The 18,032-nt window shown below is 42.2% G+C and overlaps 1 long non-coding RNA gene across 3 annotated transcripts in view; it reads right to left on the minus strand.

Moving 5' to 3' along the window:
* Positions 1-17,627, minus strand: part of LOC105375341 (uncharacterized) — a 170,147-nt gene extending 152,520 nt beyond the window's left edge. For all 3 annotated transcript variants that reach the window (NR_187905.1, NR_187906.1, NR_187907.1), the window contains exon 1: positions 17,549-17,627. This is a non-coding gene — a long non-coding RNA (uncharacterized LOC105375341). The remainder of the gene's footprint in view (positions 1-17,548) is intronic.
* Between the last annotated feature and the right edge of the window lie 405 nt (positions 17,628-18,032).

Here is an 18,032-nt window from a genome sequence, read left to right on the forward strand (position 1 = left end):
GGCATTCTAGTGGATATAAAATGCCATTTCATTGTGATTTTGATTTGCTTTTCCCTGGTGTCCACTGAAGTTAAGCATCTTTTTATTTTTCTATTGGCTATTTGTATATTTTCTTTCTGTTTATTTATTTATTTAGACCGAGTCTTGCTCTGTCACCTAGGCTGGAGTGTAGTGGTGTGAACATGGCTCACTGCAATCTCAATCTCCTGGGCTCAAGCAATCCTCCCACCTCAGACTCCCAAGTAGCTGGGGCCACAGGCACGTGCCACCATGGTCAACCTTGTATATTTTCTTTGGAGAATGGTCTATTTCAATCTTTTGCCCATTTTTAAATTGGGTTATTCTTTCTTATTATTCTATTGTAAGAGTTCTTTACATATTCTAGATACAATTCCTTTGTTAGATATATGATTTGCAAATATTTTCTCCAATTTGTGGGTTGTCTTTTTACCTTCTTGATCATGTCCTTTGAAGCACAAAAAAATATTTAATTTGGATGAAGCCAATTTACCTGTTTTTCCTTTTGTTTCTTGGGTTTTGGTGTCATATGTAAACAATTATTGCCTAATCCAAGTTATGAAGACTTATGCCTATGTTTTCTTCTAGGAGTTTTATAGTTTTAGCTCTTAACATTTAATCTTTTAATGCATTTTGAATCAATTTTTTGTATACACTGTGAGGTAGGGGTCCAACTTCATTTTTAATATGTGGATATTCTATTTCTTCAACAAAATTTGTTTAAAAAATTGTTCTGGCACACTTACCGAAAATCAGTTAACTGTAAACTTGAAGGTTTGTTTCTGGACTTTCAATCCTATTACATTAATCTAAATGTCTATTCCTATGACAGTGCCAAAATGTTTTTTTTTTTTTTTTTTTGCCTTTATGCTTTAGCAAAAGTTGTGCTGGGTTTAAAATGATTGGGTCACTGTTTCTTATCTTGAAGATATTTGGTATAGCCCCACTGTCTCTAGCACTGAATATAGAGAAGCAAGCCTAAGGCCCATCCTGTAATTTTTATGCACAGGAACAACTTGATATTTTGATTCAATGACCAAGGAATTATTTCTTTATCCATAATGTGTACTATTTTTGTTCTTTTTTTTTTAATTGGATGATAGGGATGCGGGTGTCTGAACCTGGAATTGGAAACAGTTATATCCTTTGATAGTCCCTTTTGAGAATGATTTTTTTTTGTTTGTATGTTTGTTTTCTTTGTTTTGTTTTTGAGACATGATCTCGCTCTGTTGCCCAGGCTAGTACAGTGACACAATCACAGCTCACTGCAGCCTTGAGATTCTGGGCTCAGGTGATCCTTCTGTCTCAGCCTCCTGAGTAGCTGGGACTACAGATATGCACCACCACACCTGGCTAATATTTTTTTAATTTTTACTTTTGTAGAGACAAGGTCTCACTATGTTGTCCAGGCTGCTCTCAAACTCCTGGCCTCATGCCATCCTCCCATCTCAGCCTCCCAAAGTACTAGGATTACAGGCATGAGCCATCATGCCCAGCCATGTTTACTATTTCTTAGGAAATATTTTGGTGCTGATAGTTGCATGTCAGCTTTCCTGAGAGCCATGGTTTGCTGTTTCTGTTACATAGATTTAAACTTTTTATGGAAAATTTTCTTACAGTAAATCTTAAAATATATATTTTTGTTTTGTTATTTTAATCTTTTTCTTGGGGACAACAATTATGACATGTTGGAACTTTTTTTTTTACTTTATTCTCCGCATAGATAGATAGACAGATACATGATACATAGATATAGATTATATAGGTACTCTCTATATACATATATGAAATAGGTGTATAGGTGTTTGTTGGTTTGTTTGTTTGTTTGAGACAGGGTCTCACTCTGTCACCCAGGCTGAAGTGCAGTGGTACAATCATAGGTCACTGCAGTCTCAACCTCCCCAGGCTTAGGTGATCCTCCCACCTCAGCCTCCCGAGTAGTTGGGACTACAGGCACGCACCACCACACCTGGCTAATTTTTTTGTAGAGACAGGATCTTACCATATGGCCCAGGCTGGTCTCAAAGTGATCCACACACCTTGGCCTCCCAAAGTGCCAGGATTACAGGCGTGAGCCGCTGTACCCAGCTATTTTGCTTGCTGTTCTCAACTCTTTTCTTCATAATAATTCCTGTGCTTTCAGCTATGCTAATTCTTCTTTGTCCTTCCTTTAACACAGCTTATGTTTCTCAGTAGCTTTATCTTTCTCTTCTTCTTCCTGCTTGTTCACTACTTTCTTCCAGCTAACATTTCATCTCTGTTGTCTTGCCATATCTTCTCTGCATGCTGCTATTTCTGCTTGAGCTCTAGTTTCATAAATGCCTCTTTAAGCTTTTCTTTACTGAATGAAAGCCTGGTGATACTGGTCCTCTTGCCAAAGACCCTATTTTTCTCCATGCATTTCTCATTTGCCATTTCCCTCTGTCCCTTTCCTCCTGTTTTCTTTTATAGCTTCTATCTTGGTCTCTTTTATATTACAGTTTGTCTTTGACTGAAATGAGCTTTTTTTTTTTTTTCTGAATACAATTTATGGAAGCATCCTCCTGTGGTAGGAGGGCCAGGGGCTGTGATTCAGGCCAGAAGTTATTCCCCCTGCTTAGGACTCTTGATGCCCATGTGAGCAGACCCTGACTCTTCCAAGGCAGCAGGAGCCCTCGTGTTCCAGTCCCTGTGACTCACCCTGCCTCGGGGATGGACTTCTTCCTATAATGAGGATGCACTTGTCACAGAGATGTTCATTTTTTAGTGTTCTTAAGCAGACACAGAAAATGAGTCTAACAATATGACATCTGTGGCTGTCTCTGCAGCATGTGTTATATGATGCTTTTATTCTTTTTGGTTGGCTTGTTGGACTTTTCTATATTTTCTTTTTTTTTTTTTTTTTTTTTTTGAGACAGGTTCTCACTCTGTAACCCAGGCTGGAGTGCAGTGGCATGATCTTAGCTCACTACAACCACTGCTTCCAGGGTTCAAGTGATTCTTCTGCCTCAGCCTCCCGAGTAGCTGGAACTACAGGTGCTCGCCACCAAGCCTGGCTAATTTTTGTATTTTTAGTAGAGATGGAGTTTCACTATGATGGCCAGGCTTGTCTCTAACTCTTGGCCTCAAGTGATCTTCCCGCCTTGGCCTCCTGAAGTGCTGGGATTACAGGCATGAGCCACTGCACCCAGCCTATATTTTCATTTTTAACAAAAATGTATATTCCTTCTATAATCATAAAATCAATACATTTTATTAAAAATGGAAGCTTGATCGGTACAAAAATAGAAAGACTAAGAATTGTTATGTGAGAGCACAACAGGGTGACTATAGTGAACAGTAACTTAATTTTACTTTTTTTATTAGTTTATTTTTATTTTTATTAATTAATTAATTTATTCATTTGAACTTTTATTTTTAAGTTCAGGGGTACAAGTGTAGGTTTGTTACCTAGATAAACCTGTGTTGTGGGGGTTTGTTATACATATCATTTCATCGCCCAGGTATTAAGCCTAGTACCCATTAGTTATTTCTCCTGATCCTCTTCCTCCTCCCACCCTCCACCCTCTGAAAGGCCCCAGGATGTGTAGTTTCCCCCTATGTGTCCATGTGTTCTTACCATTTAGCTCCTACTTGTAAGTGAGAATATACAGTATTTAGTTTTCCATTCCTGCGTTAGTTTGCTAAGGATAATAGCCTCCAGCTCCATCCATGTCCCTACAAAGGACATAAGCTTGTCCTTTTTTATGGCTGCATAGTATTCCGTAGCATGTATGTGCCACATTGTTTTTATCCAGTCTATCATTAATGGACATTTATGTTGATTCCATGCCTTTGCTATTGTGAATAGTGCTGCAGTGAACATATGCATGCGTGTGCCTCTACAATAGAAAGATTTATATTCCTCTGGGTATGTACCCAGTAATGGGATTGTTGGGTCAAATTATATTTCTGTCTTTAAGTTTCTAAGGAATTGCCACACTGTCTTCCACAATGGCTGAACTAATTTATAGTCCCTTAATTTTACATTTTAAAATAACTTAAAGAGGGTAGTTTGATTGTAACTCAAAGGATAAGTGCTTGAGGGATGGATACCCTATTCTCCATGATGCACTTATTTCACATTGCATGCCTCTATCAAAACATCTCATGTACCCCATACACATATACACCTACTATGTTCTCACAAAAATTAAAAATTAAAAATAACATAAACATAAATAAAGCTGATGATCCTCCCTTGTCCCCTCAAAAAGCGGAAGTTTGCACAGCTACAGTGGAATGATTGACAGACTTGGGTGAGTGGGAAAGTCGGAGCTACAAGCCTATGCCTCTGAAGCACTCATAGACAATGATGGGAAAATCGGAGTCATAGAGCTCAGACCTGGTAATGCAAGATAAGCCACTGCAGTTAAAGAAATCACTGGACTAAGGAAAAAAAAAAAGAAATCCCGACTTGATGCTGGACAGGGAAAATCTTATACATCCGGATTATTATCATAATATCGATAATTCCCAGGTGAGAGGAAGCTGGAACTCGGAGAGGTTTGGTTAATTTCCCCAAGACTCTCTCTCTATTGTAAAGATGTCAATTACATCCTGCTTTTCTAATTCCATATCCTCAGGCCTTTCTACTCCTTCTTGCCTACTTATTAGCTCTCCAGCTGGGGTGACTCAGTATATGGTGGTGCTATTATCCAAGAGAGGGAAGACCGAGGAGGGAGAGATAATGAGCTCTGTTTTGGACAGGATGAGTTACTGTGAATGTCATGCTTGCAGCTCTGCTGCAGGAATAACATGAAGGGAGAGGCATCATTTTATGTGAAAGCCCACTGTTTCTGTCACCTCGTTCCTGTCAGTCAAATGAGGAAAGAAAATCATGTTTCTAGAACCCTGCTGGTGGCTGTCTTTCTCCCAGGATGAAATCACCTAGTGAGGATGACATTGGCAATCAGGCTCTGACAGCACCTTCTCTGAGTCATCCATGAGCCAAATAGCATCAGGATCATTTCTCGGCATCCACCCTCCTCCCAGCTCTTGGACAGGGGCATTCCTGGCACCCTTGGGTTGGAGGTGGAATGGGAGAGCAATGACAGCCTTATTGAATTATCCCCGAACCTTACAGATTCAGCTTCCCTGTTGTCGCCCTAAGCAGCTAGCCTTATGGGAATTTTACCAGGGCTGAGTTTTTTCCTTAAGGTTCACAAACACAGCATCTGGAATAATTCTCTGTTTTTGCACACAGATCATTTTGCCAAGACTGATTATGAAGCTTCCAAAAACAACCACCACAACAAAAATATATCCAGCCAAACTAATGCAACCTGTGTGTGATACACTTTTTGCCCAAGAGCCAGTTGTTGAACTTCAAGCCTATTTTTTTTAAGCGTATCTATATGGAAAACAATAGTAGTGTACTATTGTATTTCCAGTTGAGATTGTATTATATGCCTGTATCCTGTATATTTTTATTTTTGTATCAGATGGGGATTCGAACTCACACTCTGCCACTTTTCGGTTCTGTTCCCCTGGGTAAGTAAGTTAGTTTCTAAACCTTAATTCCCTCATGTATAAAATCGTTATAACGATATCAATTTTACTCTTGTAAGGATCCTATTAAACGAGATAATGCATAGAAAACATTAGCACAAATCTTGGAGCATCGCAAGTGCAAAATAAATAGCAGCTATTATCAATATTCTTCTGCAAAAGACAATATTGACAAAATTTACCCCAATTGTGTATATAAGATGCTCTTTCTTTTTTTCTTTTTTCTTTTCTTTTTTTTTTCTGAGGCAGAGTCTCACTCTGTCACCCAGGCTGGAGTGCAGTGGCACCATCTCTGCTCACTGCAAGCTCCACATCCTGGGTTCACACCATTCTCTGCCTCAGCCTCCCAAGTAGCTAGAACTACAGGCGCCCACCACCACGCCCGGCTAATTTTTTGTATTTTTTAGTAGAGATGGGGTTTCACTGTGTTAGCCAGGATGGTCTCGATCTCCTGACCTCATGATCTGCCCGCCTCAGCCTCCCAAAGTGCTGGGATTACAGGCGTGAGCCACCACGCCTGGCCCATATGATGGTCTTTCATGAGGACATTGCCTTGTACACAATTCCAGTGTGGTTTTTGTGTTTAAGAATGAATGTGGCTGCCATGATGCATTTCAAGGCCTTCTTGGGTCTTCCTCTATGACTGCACAGAACTCCCTACTCCAGCATTTATGCAAGTAGAGTCTGTTATCAACATACAACAATAGCAGTGTCTATCAACTCTAGATAGTAAAAAAAAAAAAAAAAAGAGAGAGAGAGCAGAGATCACTTTTTGTTTTATGTCCCAATGTGTCCCAAGCATCTGGTACATAGTAGGATCCTAAAGATTGAATAAATAAATCACCTTCTATAAGCCAAACACCATGCAAGAGGCTTTGCCGCTCTGCTTCTGTAGAGGAGTCAGAGATCCCCTCCAACACACATTTAGCTCTTAGCCGGTGGGCTTTATAGTTGGATCTAGAAACCAAACTGACATCAGGCAGATTAACAAGAGCAAACTATATAAATTTTCTTAGTTTTATGCGTACATGGGGATCTTCACAAGAGAGTGAAGACCAAAGAAGTGGCGAAAGCAAGATGCTTTTGTACTATTTAGACAAAGAATAATAAAATTGAGAAGAAATGGCAAGACAAAAGAAAATCTGGCTGGGGGCAGTACATTTTCTGGAGGAGTTACTAGGAGATGTATAGGGGAGTGAAAAAGAGGTTGAAGATAAGGGTTACATTTTTTTTTTTTAAGACTGAATCTTGCTCTGTCGCCCAGGCTGGAGTGCAGTGGTGTGATCTCAGCTCACTGCAACCTCTGCCCGCCAGGTTCAAGCGATTCTCATGCCTCAGCCTCCAGAGTAGCTGAGACCACAGGCACGTGCCACCACAACTGTCTAATTTTTGTGTGTGTTTTTAGTAGAGATGGAGGCAACATGGGTTACATAATTAAGTACGTTTATTCAGGTCCTTTGAAGCTTTCCATCCCAAGTCTCTGGTGATAGAGCTATTTTCTCACCTGGTGTGAGAAATCTTTCACACTTGCTACATGTAGGAAGAGACAGGCCAGCCAGCCCTTTCTGAAACTACAATTTCTCTAATGTTTTCAACTTGAAATAATCAAGATCCTAATCTGGTATGTTTTGAGATGGCACACGCTTCACTCCTTTATGTCCTTTAATTTTCCTCTATCTCCTTGAAAACTAACTGATTCTTGTATCAGGACAGGCTAACTTGTGCTATGGTAACGAACAACCCTCCAATCTTAGCAACTTACAACAACAGATTCTTACTCACACCACATCTCTAACTGTTGATCAGCTGATAGCTTAGCTCCCAGGTTTCCTGACCCTAAGACCCAGGAAATGGAGCAGCCACTCTTGCTAGTATCAGGGATGCAGAGAGAGAGAGACAGAGAGAGCAGGTGAATAACAAGCTGTCTCTCAGCTCACAGCCAGAAGTGACACGTGTCTGTTGCACCTCCATTTCTTTGGCCTAGCATGTCATCTGGCCATGCCTAATATCAAAGGGGATGGGATAAGGGAAATGGCATTCTGTTAAGCTCCTGGAAGAAGAAATAGAATTTCTGTGAAGAGTCCTTGCTTCCTCACAAGGGAAACTGAGGTTCTCGGTTAAGTCACTCCGCCAGTTGTTCAGGAATTGAATATTGATCTGACTCCAAGGCACCAGTGTACAATTTGTCTTTTTGGTCAGCTTGCTTCTCATGTCTTCATGGTGCCCGATAAGGAGATCTGCTTTTTCCTAGACCTGAATAGTCTGACTAAACAAAACCAGGTTGCCATTTCCTATAAATATCAAATTCCAGGGAATTGTCTCCTAGGCAAGAGGGATCTCTCCAGAACCACAGGAATTGCTAGTTGGGAAGGCCCCAGGTAACACCAAGAAGCTTGCCTTTGTCACTCGGATGTGGCCCAGATTTCCAAGCTGTCGAGCTCCAAGTGCCAAATGATATCAGGATTCGTTGTGGAGAAGCTGTCCTTGTAATCCCGGGAGATAATCTCTATTATCTAAGAGAGGAAGGGAGCTTGCCAGAGATAAAAATGCTCACACAAGGCCAAAATTCCCCCGAAAGTAAGTTTAAAGGGACAGTGGTGACAGAACAAAGTTTTCACATGACCACAAGACCACTTAATCCAATCCCAAGCCTCCATTTCCAAAATGGCTGGCTGGCTCAGCTTTCTGCCCTACAAAATCAAAAGGCAAATATTGTTACTGGTGCTCCAATTTCAGCAAACTCTTAGAATATTTCTACTTATATAAATGTAATGGAGGAGGAAAAAGTGTATACCTTCTTTTCTTTCTAAAACAATCACTTAGTAACTCATTACTCATCAGCTGACATTTGGAAATAGCATGGTAGCCTGAAGTCAAATCTTTTTTCGTTTCTTCAATCACTCTCCTTCACTTACAGAGTGAGTCTCAGTTGTATTTTTTAAGCAGACTGTGGAAACTCACAATTCACAGGTCATGAATTGTTGGTTTCAGCATCATCAGCTACTGAAACCTTATTCAAACCACTTATAATAATATGAGTATTGGTTGGTGTTTTTAGCCTTTTATGTTGCCCAGCCATCTCTTATGCATTAGAGTATCAGGCTGGGCACAGTGGCTCACTCCTGTAATCCCAACACTTTGGGAGGCCGAGGCAGGCAGATCACTTGAGGTCAGGAGTTCCAGACCAGCCTGACCAACATGGACAAACCCCGTCTCTACTAAAAATACAAAATCAGCCAGGCGTGGTGGCGCACGCCTGTAATCCCAGCTACTTGGGAGGCTGAGGCAGGAGAATCGCTTGAACCCGGGAGGCAGAGGTTGTGGTGAGCCGAGATCGCTCCATTGCACTCGAGCCTGGGCAACAAGAGCGAAACTCTGTCGCCAAAAAAAAAAAAAAAAAAAAAAAAGTGTAAGTTTAATAGGCGAGAGAAAGAGAAAAAGCTCTCTGCCCTGCAGAGATGGAGGGGCTCCTAAGTGGGTCTTCCAGTTCCATGGTGAAATGCACGGGGTTTTATAGACTAGCTTGAGGAGGTGGTGTCTGATTTACATAGGGCCCAAAAGATTGGTTGGACGAGTTGTGCCATTTACATAGCGTGTGAAGAAGCTGGCCATCCCATCCTCATCCTGCATTATGAATATGGGGTCTCTACCTGGCTGGCGCCATGTTGCCTGTTCCTTTACTGTACACAAGGTTGACAAAGAAGAGAGAAGATGGAGCCGCCATGTTGAACATGCCTGGCCCCCAGGTAGCTTTTTCCGATTGGCACAGCTGCCAGCATTTCACCCGTGCAAGCTTCCAGCTTGCTTATCTATGTCAGCAGCTCGATTTTACAGGCTGCTTTTTGTTAGAGAAGAAAAGATTTGGCCGGGTGTGGTGGCTGAAGCCTGTAATCCCAGCACTTTGAGAGGACAAGGCCGGCGGATCATGAGGTCAGGAGATCGAGACCATTCTGGTCAACATGGTGAACCTCTGTCTCTACTAAAAATACAAAAATTAGCTGAGTGTGGTGGCACGTGCCTGTAATCTCAGCTACATGGGAGGCTAAGGCAGGAGAATGGCTTGAACCCAGGAGGCAGAGGTTGCAGTGAGCCGAGATTGCACCACTGCATTCCAGCCTGGCAACAGAGCAAGACTGTCTTTCAAAAAAAAAAAAGAAAGAAAGAAAGAAATGATTTGTGGTGAAACCCCATCTCTAATAAATATACAAAAAAAAAAAAAATAGCTGGGTGTGGTGGCGGGCACCTGTAATCCCAACTACTTGGGAGGCTGAGGCAGAAGAATTGCTTGAATCCTGGAGGCAGAGGTTGCAATGAGCTGAGATCATGCCATTGCAGTAAAGCCCGGGTGACAGAGCGAGACTCGTCTCAAAAAAAAAAAAAAAAAAGAAAGAAATAATTTGAGGGTTGCTTTTTATTAAAATGGAAACCTTACGAAGGACTTACTTACCCTCACTAACTGCCTAAATGATTTTTTTTAGCTCCCGTGTCTCTACTGACTGCTCACACCATGCTTACGTGAGTCATCTACAAGAGGGCACTAACCTGCCCTTAAACTCTGAATTTTCTGACATTGACGACATGCCTGTCCTCCCACATCCACCTATCTCCAGGTCTCTGACATTTACCTTTCTCATTGGCATGCAAGAAAATGATTGCCCTTACTTATTATTTATGTTAGTATCAGGGGTAAAATGAGGTGGTACTTGGCACCCATAGCTGAGTCACTTTGACCATCAGAGACACAGTTTTAATGAGATTGGCTGTGTAAGGCTATGACGTGGAAGGTGAATCTCTAAAGTTCTGGGATAATTCAATAAGGTTGTCACTGCTCTTCCACCCCAGCTTCATCCCCCAAAGTGCTTGGAATGCCCCCATCCAAGAGCCAGGAGCAGGGTGGACGTCAAAAAATAATCCTGATGCTATTTGGCTCATGTATGATTCAGAGCAGGTGCTGTCAGAGCCCTAATTTCCCTTGTTTTTGAACTATCATGTCATACTCCTTCGTGCATAACATTTTATCTCTCAGGATCTTCCTTCTTTCCCCCCATAAATAACTTTCCATTGCTTTCCCACCCGTAATGTGGACTATTTAGAACCTCCCCTCCTCTTGCTCTTTCACCCAGGCTGAAGTGCTGTGGTGTGATCTTAGCTCACTGCAGGCTCAAACTCCTGGGCTTGAGTAATCCTCTCACCATAGCCTCCCAAGTAGCCGGGACTACAGGTGTGTACTACCATACTCAGCTAATTTTTTCATTTTTATTTTTGTAGATACAGGGGGTCTCACTATGTTGCCCAGGCTGGTCTCGAACTCCTGGCCCCAAGTGATCTTCCCACGTCGGCCTCCTGAAATACAGGGACTACAGGCATGAGCCACCATGCCTGGCCTTAAATCTGCATTTTGTATTTTCTTCCCATTATATGGTTTGCCTCTACTGGAGACAGTCAGGCAGGATTTCCACTGTAGAAGAGGGACTTCCATAGAGTCAGCTTCCAGATCCACAGGGCATAGATTTGCAGCTCAGATCAGAAAGCAGGCTGACAGGGAATGAGGAGTGAGGAAGGATTGAGATGGGAAGTTATATTAGAATCTTCCTTTTTGGCTCTTTCCAGTGTCTGGATAACTTTTTGTGCTAGCCAGGATGACAGACTTCCCGAGAAAAGAAAGAACAGTGGAGCATGAAGGTAGACTAGTTGCTTCCTGCCTCAGTTTCCATTTTATGCCAATGTTAGTGTTACTGGTGGAGGGTGTCCAGGTTCTTGACCTCTTGAACAAGGAATTGGACAAAACGCACAAACAGAACAAGGAAAGAATGAAGCAATAAAAGTAGAGATTTATTAAAAATGAAAATATGCTCCACAGGGTGGGAGCGGGTCCAAGCACAGGGGCTCAAGATCCCCGTTATCCAGAATTTTCTGGGGTTTAAATATACTCTCGAGGTTCCCATTGGTTACCTGGGGTATGCCCTGTGTAAATGAAGAGAATGAAGTAAAGTTACAAAGCTGGCCGAGTGCGGTGGCTCATGCCTGTAATCCTAGCACTTTGGGAGCCAGAGGCAGGCAGATCACCTGAGATGGAGAGTTCGAGACCAGCCTGACCGACATGGAGAAAACTTTTCTTTACTAAAAATACAAAATTAGCTGGGCGTGGTGGCACATGCCTGTGATTCCAGCTATTCAGGAGGCTGAGGCAGGAGAATCGCTTGAACCTGGGAGGCAGAGGTTGTGGTGAGCCAAGATCGTGCCATTGCACTCCAGCCTGGGCAACAAGAGCGAAAATCTACCTCAAAAAAAAAATGTTACACAGTCATTTACTTAGTGTACGTCCTGTGAAAATGGAGAGGATATTTCCTGTCATAGCTGAAGTGTTTCTATTTGATTTAGTTCTAGGAAGTCCCCATGAGTCAGCCTTATGTTACCTGCCTCCAAACCCTATTCTCCTGCCTCAATAGTGTTTGGTTTCAAATTGAGAATGAGGTAAATCTGCATATGCTGCTATTTTCAAGGAAATAAAGAGAATCTGTACTGTGGATTATCCAGGGTACTCACAGGGGCCAGAGTGAGTGCTGCAACAATATTCCTACAAAGGGGATCTGTCGTGCTGAATCGCCCCCTGTAAAGGAGGTAAAGGAAAGAGAGTTTCAAAAGCACCATTCAGAATTTTAAAAAGTGCTCCCTGCTTTTGGGAGACACTGGGGAACTGATACCTGAGAATGTTAAAGTGCTTTGTGAATGGAGTCAGACTCGTAACCCAAGATACTGGAGGGAAGGGCTGACCACCTGCCCTGAGGGTAGAGCCTGGGGACGATGGACTTGGGATTGGCCAGCAAAGGGTCTGCCAAGCACAGGGAAGACGAGTGTTTCCTGTGGCGCACACGTGGCCAGTACTGCAGATAGAGCAGCTGTGGGTCATCTTGGGTCCTTTTCAATAAGGCTGTCCCAAGGGGCAAAGAGATTCCAGCGAAAAGAGGCTGGAGAATAACAGTTGCACACACAGGGCTGAAGAAATACTTGTAAGTCATGACCTACTAGGTGCCTAGACCCCAGGTGGACTTTTCCTATTGGCACAGCTGCCAGCATTCATTCACCTGTGCAAGCTTCCAGCTTGCTTTTCTATGTCTGCAGCTTAATTTTACAGGTTGCTCTTTGTTAGAAAAGAAATGATTTGGGGGCTGCTTTTATTTTTTTAAAGGAAAACCTTACTGAGGGCTATCTTACCCTCACTATCTGCCTAAATAATTTCTTTTTAGCTCCTGTATCAGAATCAAACCACCATCCATAGCCAACTTTCCCAGGAGACACTAGGAAGACACAGAAGTCAAACTGGGTGAAGATAATGTTTAGATAGAGCTTTACTTTGGGCAACTGAACACAGAAAACTTTAACTGTGGCTACCTTTCATCACCGGAAGATTTATTACATTCTATAAATTTGCCTGGAAAAAAGCAGGTTGAAAATATATGAACGCCATTAAATTTAGTGGAGTGGAAAACTTCCCTGAAGAGGAGATTGGTGGCCGGGCGTGGTGGCTCACGCCTGTAATCCCAGCACTTTGGGAGGCTGAGGCAGTTGGATCACCTGAGGTCGGGAGTTCAAGACCAGACTGACCAACATGGAGAAACCCTGTCTCTACTAAAAATACAAAATTAGCTGGGCGTGGTGGCGCATGCTTGTAATCCCAGCTACTCGGGAGGCTGAGGCAGGAGAATCGCTTGAACCCAGGAGGCAGAGGTTGTGGTGAGCCGAGATCGCGCCATTGCACTCCAGCCTGGGCAACAAGATCGAAAATCTGTCTCAAAAACAAAAACAAAAAACAAACAAAAAGAACAAAACAAGAGTAGAGTGGCTTCAAGGGTTTGTGCTAAATAAAGGAGAATTTAAATGTGCTTATTTGGGGGTTTGGTTTTCTTTAAAAGGGGACCTTGTCTACTCCTCCCTCGTTGCTACCCTACAAACTAGCGTCAACCTATATAGTCTTGTTACCAGAAAGGAGTCCTGATCCAGACCCCAAGATGAGGGTTCTTGGATCTCAGGCAAGAAGGAATTTGGGGTGAGTCCATACAGTAAAGTGAAAGCAAGTTTATTAAGAAAGTAAAGGAATAAAAAAATGCCTACTTCATTGGCAGAGCAGTGGCATGGACTGCTTAACTAAGGACGCTTATAGTTATTTCTTGATTATATGCTAAACAAGGGGTGAATTACTTATGAAGTTTCTGGGAATGGGGTGGGCAATTACTGAAACTGAGGCTTCTTCCCCTTTTTAGACCATATAGGGTAACTCCCAGACATTGCCATTTGTAAACTGTCTTGGCATTTGTAAACTGTCTTTGGTGCCGGTGGGAATGTCTTTTAGCATGCGAATGCACTATAATTAATGTATAATGAGCAGTGAGGATGACCAGCAGTCACTTTTGTCGCCATCTTGGTTTTGGTGGGTCTTGGCTGGCTTCTTTACGGCACCCTGTTTTATCAGCAAGGTCTTTGTGACCTGTATCTTGTGCCAACCTCCTATCTCTTCCTGTGACTAAGAATGCCCCTATTCAAGATGGAGTTGCTGTGGTTCAAATGCCTCTGACAGTGTCACTGAAGAGATGATTTGACTTAAGTTGAAAAACAGGTACATAGTATTGATTGAAGATGTAGGGACAATGCCTGGGTTTAGGTGCCAGCACGGTGTAGTCAGCCTTACCATCTCATTCCCTGCCTTCTGGGTGGGGAAGTGAGTCCAGCAAGGCCAAATGCCCCCCACATTTGTGCATCTTCTTGGAAATTTCCACTTTATCACGGGAGGCATGTATTTCAAGTTGCACCAGCTGTGTTCTGGGCAACTCTTTGGATGCCTTCTTTTATAAAGTGGCATTGAGAAGTTGAGAGGATGCTGAGATAGCAATTTGCAAACTTGGTTCAAATTTTGACTCTGTGGCTAGCTCTATGAGCTGAGTATGTCACCTAATGGTGCTAGGTCTCTGCATGATCAACTCTAAAACCATGAAGGGTTGTTCTGAGGATTCAATAAAACCATGTCCAGTCCTCCCTTGATATACATGGGGGATTGATTGCTTTCAGGACCCCTGTCTTCCACCTTCTAGTCCCCACCCACCTCGGATACCAAAATCCAAGTATGCTGAAGTCCCTTATGCTACAGAATGGTGTAGTAGTTGTGTATAACCTACGTACAACCTGTTGTACACTTTCAATTTTATCTTTAGATTGCTTCTAATACCTTATACAATGTAAATGCTATGTAAATGGTTGTTATACTGTATAGATTTTTTAATTTGTATTTTTTTATTGACTTTTGTTCAGTTTTTTTCTTTTTTTTTTTGTTTTTTTGATAGAGACTGAGTATCTCTCTGTCTCCCGCTGGAGTGCAGTGGTCCCATCATAGCTCACTGCAGCCTCAAACTCCTGGGGTCAAGTGATCCTTCCCACCTCAGCCTCCTGAGTTGCTGAGATCACAAGCACAAGCCTCCCACATATTTTTAATCCTTGGTTGGTTGAATCCATGGATGTAGAACCCACAAATACAAAGAGCCAATTGTATGTAAAAATCTTTTGCATAATGCTTGACACATAGCCAGTCCTTGATAAATGATAGTTGAGTATTATGAGTCTATTTTGATAATAAAACAATAACCCTGGGAGTTCACTACTAAGATATTATAGCTCACAAAGTCAATAAATAATAATAATAATAATAATTGTTATTTTGAGACAGAGTCTTGGTCTGTTGCCCAGGTTGGAGTGCAGTGGCACAATCTTGGCTCACTGCAACCTTCACCTCCCAGGTTCAAGTGATTCTCGTGCCTCAGTCTCCCACTCAATAAATAATTCTTGAATAGGACTCAATCAATGGCTGCGAGTTAATGGACAATCAATGCTCAGCTTACTTGAAGTCCAGGTAGCACTGAGTGTGGTTGCAAAGGGAAAACTTAATATTCAGCCTATTCCAGAATGCTTACATGATCATGCGTTTCTAAACACTAAAACTGAAGAAGACTTTTGGACATTCTGTCTCTGCCTTTCCACTCCCTTTTACCTGGCTGCCAGCCTACTTAAACATTCTTCTACTTCTCATTGGTTTGTTCCAGTGAAAAGGTTTGTTGAGTAAGCCACTGAAATTTTTAAAGCCATGTTGGAAATACCTAAGTAAGCAGAGCACAGCTTTACAAACAGAGGATATTAAAGAGATAAATTGTGGATTGAAAGAGATAAAGATGTGCTACATGGCCGTGTGTGGTGGCTCACGCCTGTAATCCCAGCACTTCGGGAGGCCGAGGCAGGGGGATCATGAAGTCAGGAGTTCGAGACCAGCCTGGCCAACATAGTGAAACCCCATCTCTACTAAAAATACAAAAAATTAGCCGGATGTGGTGGCAGGCACTTGTAATCCCAGCTACTCAGGAGGCTGAGGCAGGAGAATTGCTCGAACCCGGGAGACGGAGGTTGCAGTGAGCCAAGATTGCACCATTGCACTCCAGCCTGGGTGACAGAGTGAGACTCCAACTCAAAAAAAAAAAATGTGGTACATATACACCATGGAATACCTTGCAGCCATAAGGAACAAGATTATGTCCTTTGCAGGGGACGTGGATGGATTTGGAAGCTGTTATCCTCAGGAAACTAACACAGGAACAGAAAACCAAACACCACAGGTTCTCACTCATAAGTGGGAGCTGAACAATGAGAACACATGGACTCAGGAGGGGAACGACACACACTGGGGCCTGTCAGGGAGGGGGAGTGGTGGTGGAGGGAAGGACATCGTCAGGACAAGGACAAATAGCTAATGCATGCAGGGATTAATACCTAGGCGATTCGTTGACGGTTGCAGCAAACCACCATGGCATACATTTACCTATGTAACAAAACTGCACGTCCTGCACATGTACCCTGGAACTTAAAATAAAATTAAAAAAAAAAAAAGGAGAGAGAGAGAGAGTGGCCAATAAAAAGTATGTGAAGCATTGCATGGAGCCAGTAGCTCTTTAAGGCATCTCGAGTTCTTCACATGCCACATAAGCCTTCCAATAGGTACAATGTGTTGTCCCTGGAAGTTCCCAAAATGCTCTTCGTGGAATGGGTTAACCCCTTCTCTGCCAAGAATTCTCACTCAGGAGGAGCAAATGTTCACTGAACTGCCTGCCAAATGACTCAGTGTCATGATTTCGAGTCCTTCCCACCCTGGTGTCTCTCTCCTGTAGCCTCCTGAGCTTTCCCATGTTCCTCTTTCTCTTCCTTTGATGGGAGCACCAGGCTGTGTTAATGGGGCTAGGGTTCCCGTAGGCTTCTATGGCACCCGGGTGAGTCTTGTTAAGCCTGTGGCCCATGTTCCCATCCCAACTTATTTATGTGAACAACCCTTCTCTTGAAACACTTAAAAGCAGATATTTAGTTTTATCGCCATTACAACAACACCATTTTATGACTGCCCACCAAATTCCAGATTCTGTATTAAAGGTTTCACATGTATTACCTTGTTTAATCCTCAAACCAGGAATTAGCAAACTCTTTCCATAAAGGGCCTGATAGTAACTCTTTGAGGCTTTGCAGGCCATCTGGCCCCTGTCTTAGCTGCTCAGTTCTGCCACTGAAGCATAAAAATAGCCATAGACAACATGTAAATAAGTGAGGTTGGCTGTGTTCCCATAAAACTTTATGTAGAAAAACAGGCTGCAGGGGTGAGCTTGCACATAGGTGGCAGTTGGCTGACCCCTGCTCTAAACACCCATGGAAGTAAGCAGGTTGTTAATACCCATTTCACAGATGAGTAAATGAAGCATACAGGAGATCAAGCAACTTTGCAAAGATTGGAAGGATTGTAAATGGCAACCCAGGGTCTGTGTGATACCAGGTCCTATGTAAACACTATGTCCTAGCGGCTGCAAATGAAAAATACATGAGGCTTAGAAAACAGAGAGAAGGAGGACAGGCACTTTCTCCAGCAGCCTGCCCCTTCCTCATGACCACAAGCTTCCCCCTGAGTTCTGCACCAGCAACTCACCTTTCCTTGTGGGCTGGGATCTTGCTCATGGCAGCAGTTGCTTGTAGTGCTCTGATGTGATTGTGAGGTAGGCAGGTTGACTATTGTTCTCTATTCTGTACTAGAATGCAACTTCCAGGAGCTCTCTAGATAAAGACAATAGCTATTTCTTACTTTTCCAGGAATGTAAATAATATTTATTGCCACATGTGTTAATGGCATTTACTGATTGAATAATGAAATTATTCAGTGTGTGTGTCTCTAGCATGTGTCTATATGCCAGACTAATATATATTATATATTATATAATTATTATTATGATATAATTATTACATATTATATTATATAAAATAATACAATTATTATATAGCATATAAAATAATATAATTATTATATAGTATATAAAATGTATAATCATTATATATTATATTATATAAAATGATATAATCATTATATATTATATAAAATGATATAATCATTATATATTATATAAAATGATATAATC

This window comes from Homo sapiens, chromosome 7 (assembly GCF_000001405.40).
Source record: "Homo sapiens chromosome 7, GRCh38.p14 Primary Assembly".
Lineage (NCBI taxonomy): Eukaryota > Metazoa > Chordata > Mammalia > Primates > Hominidae > Homo > Homo sapiens.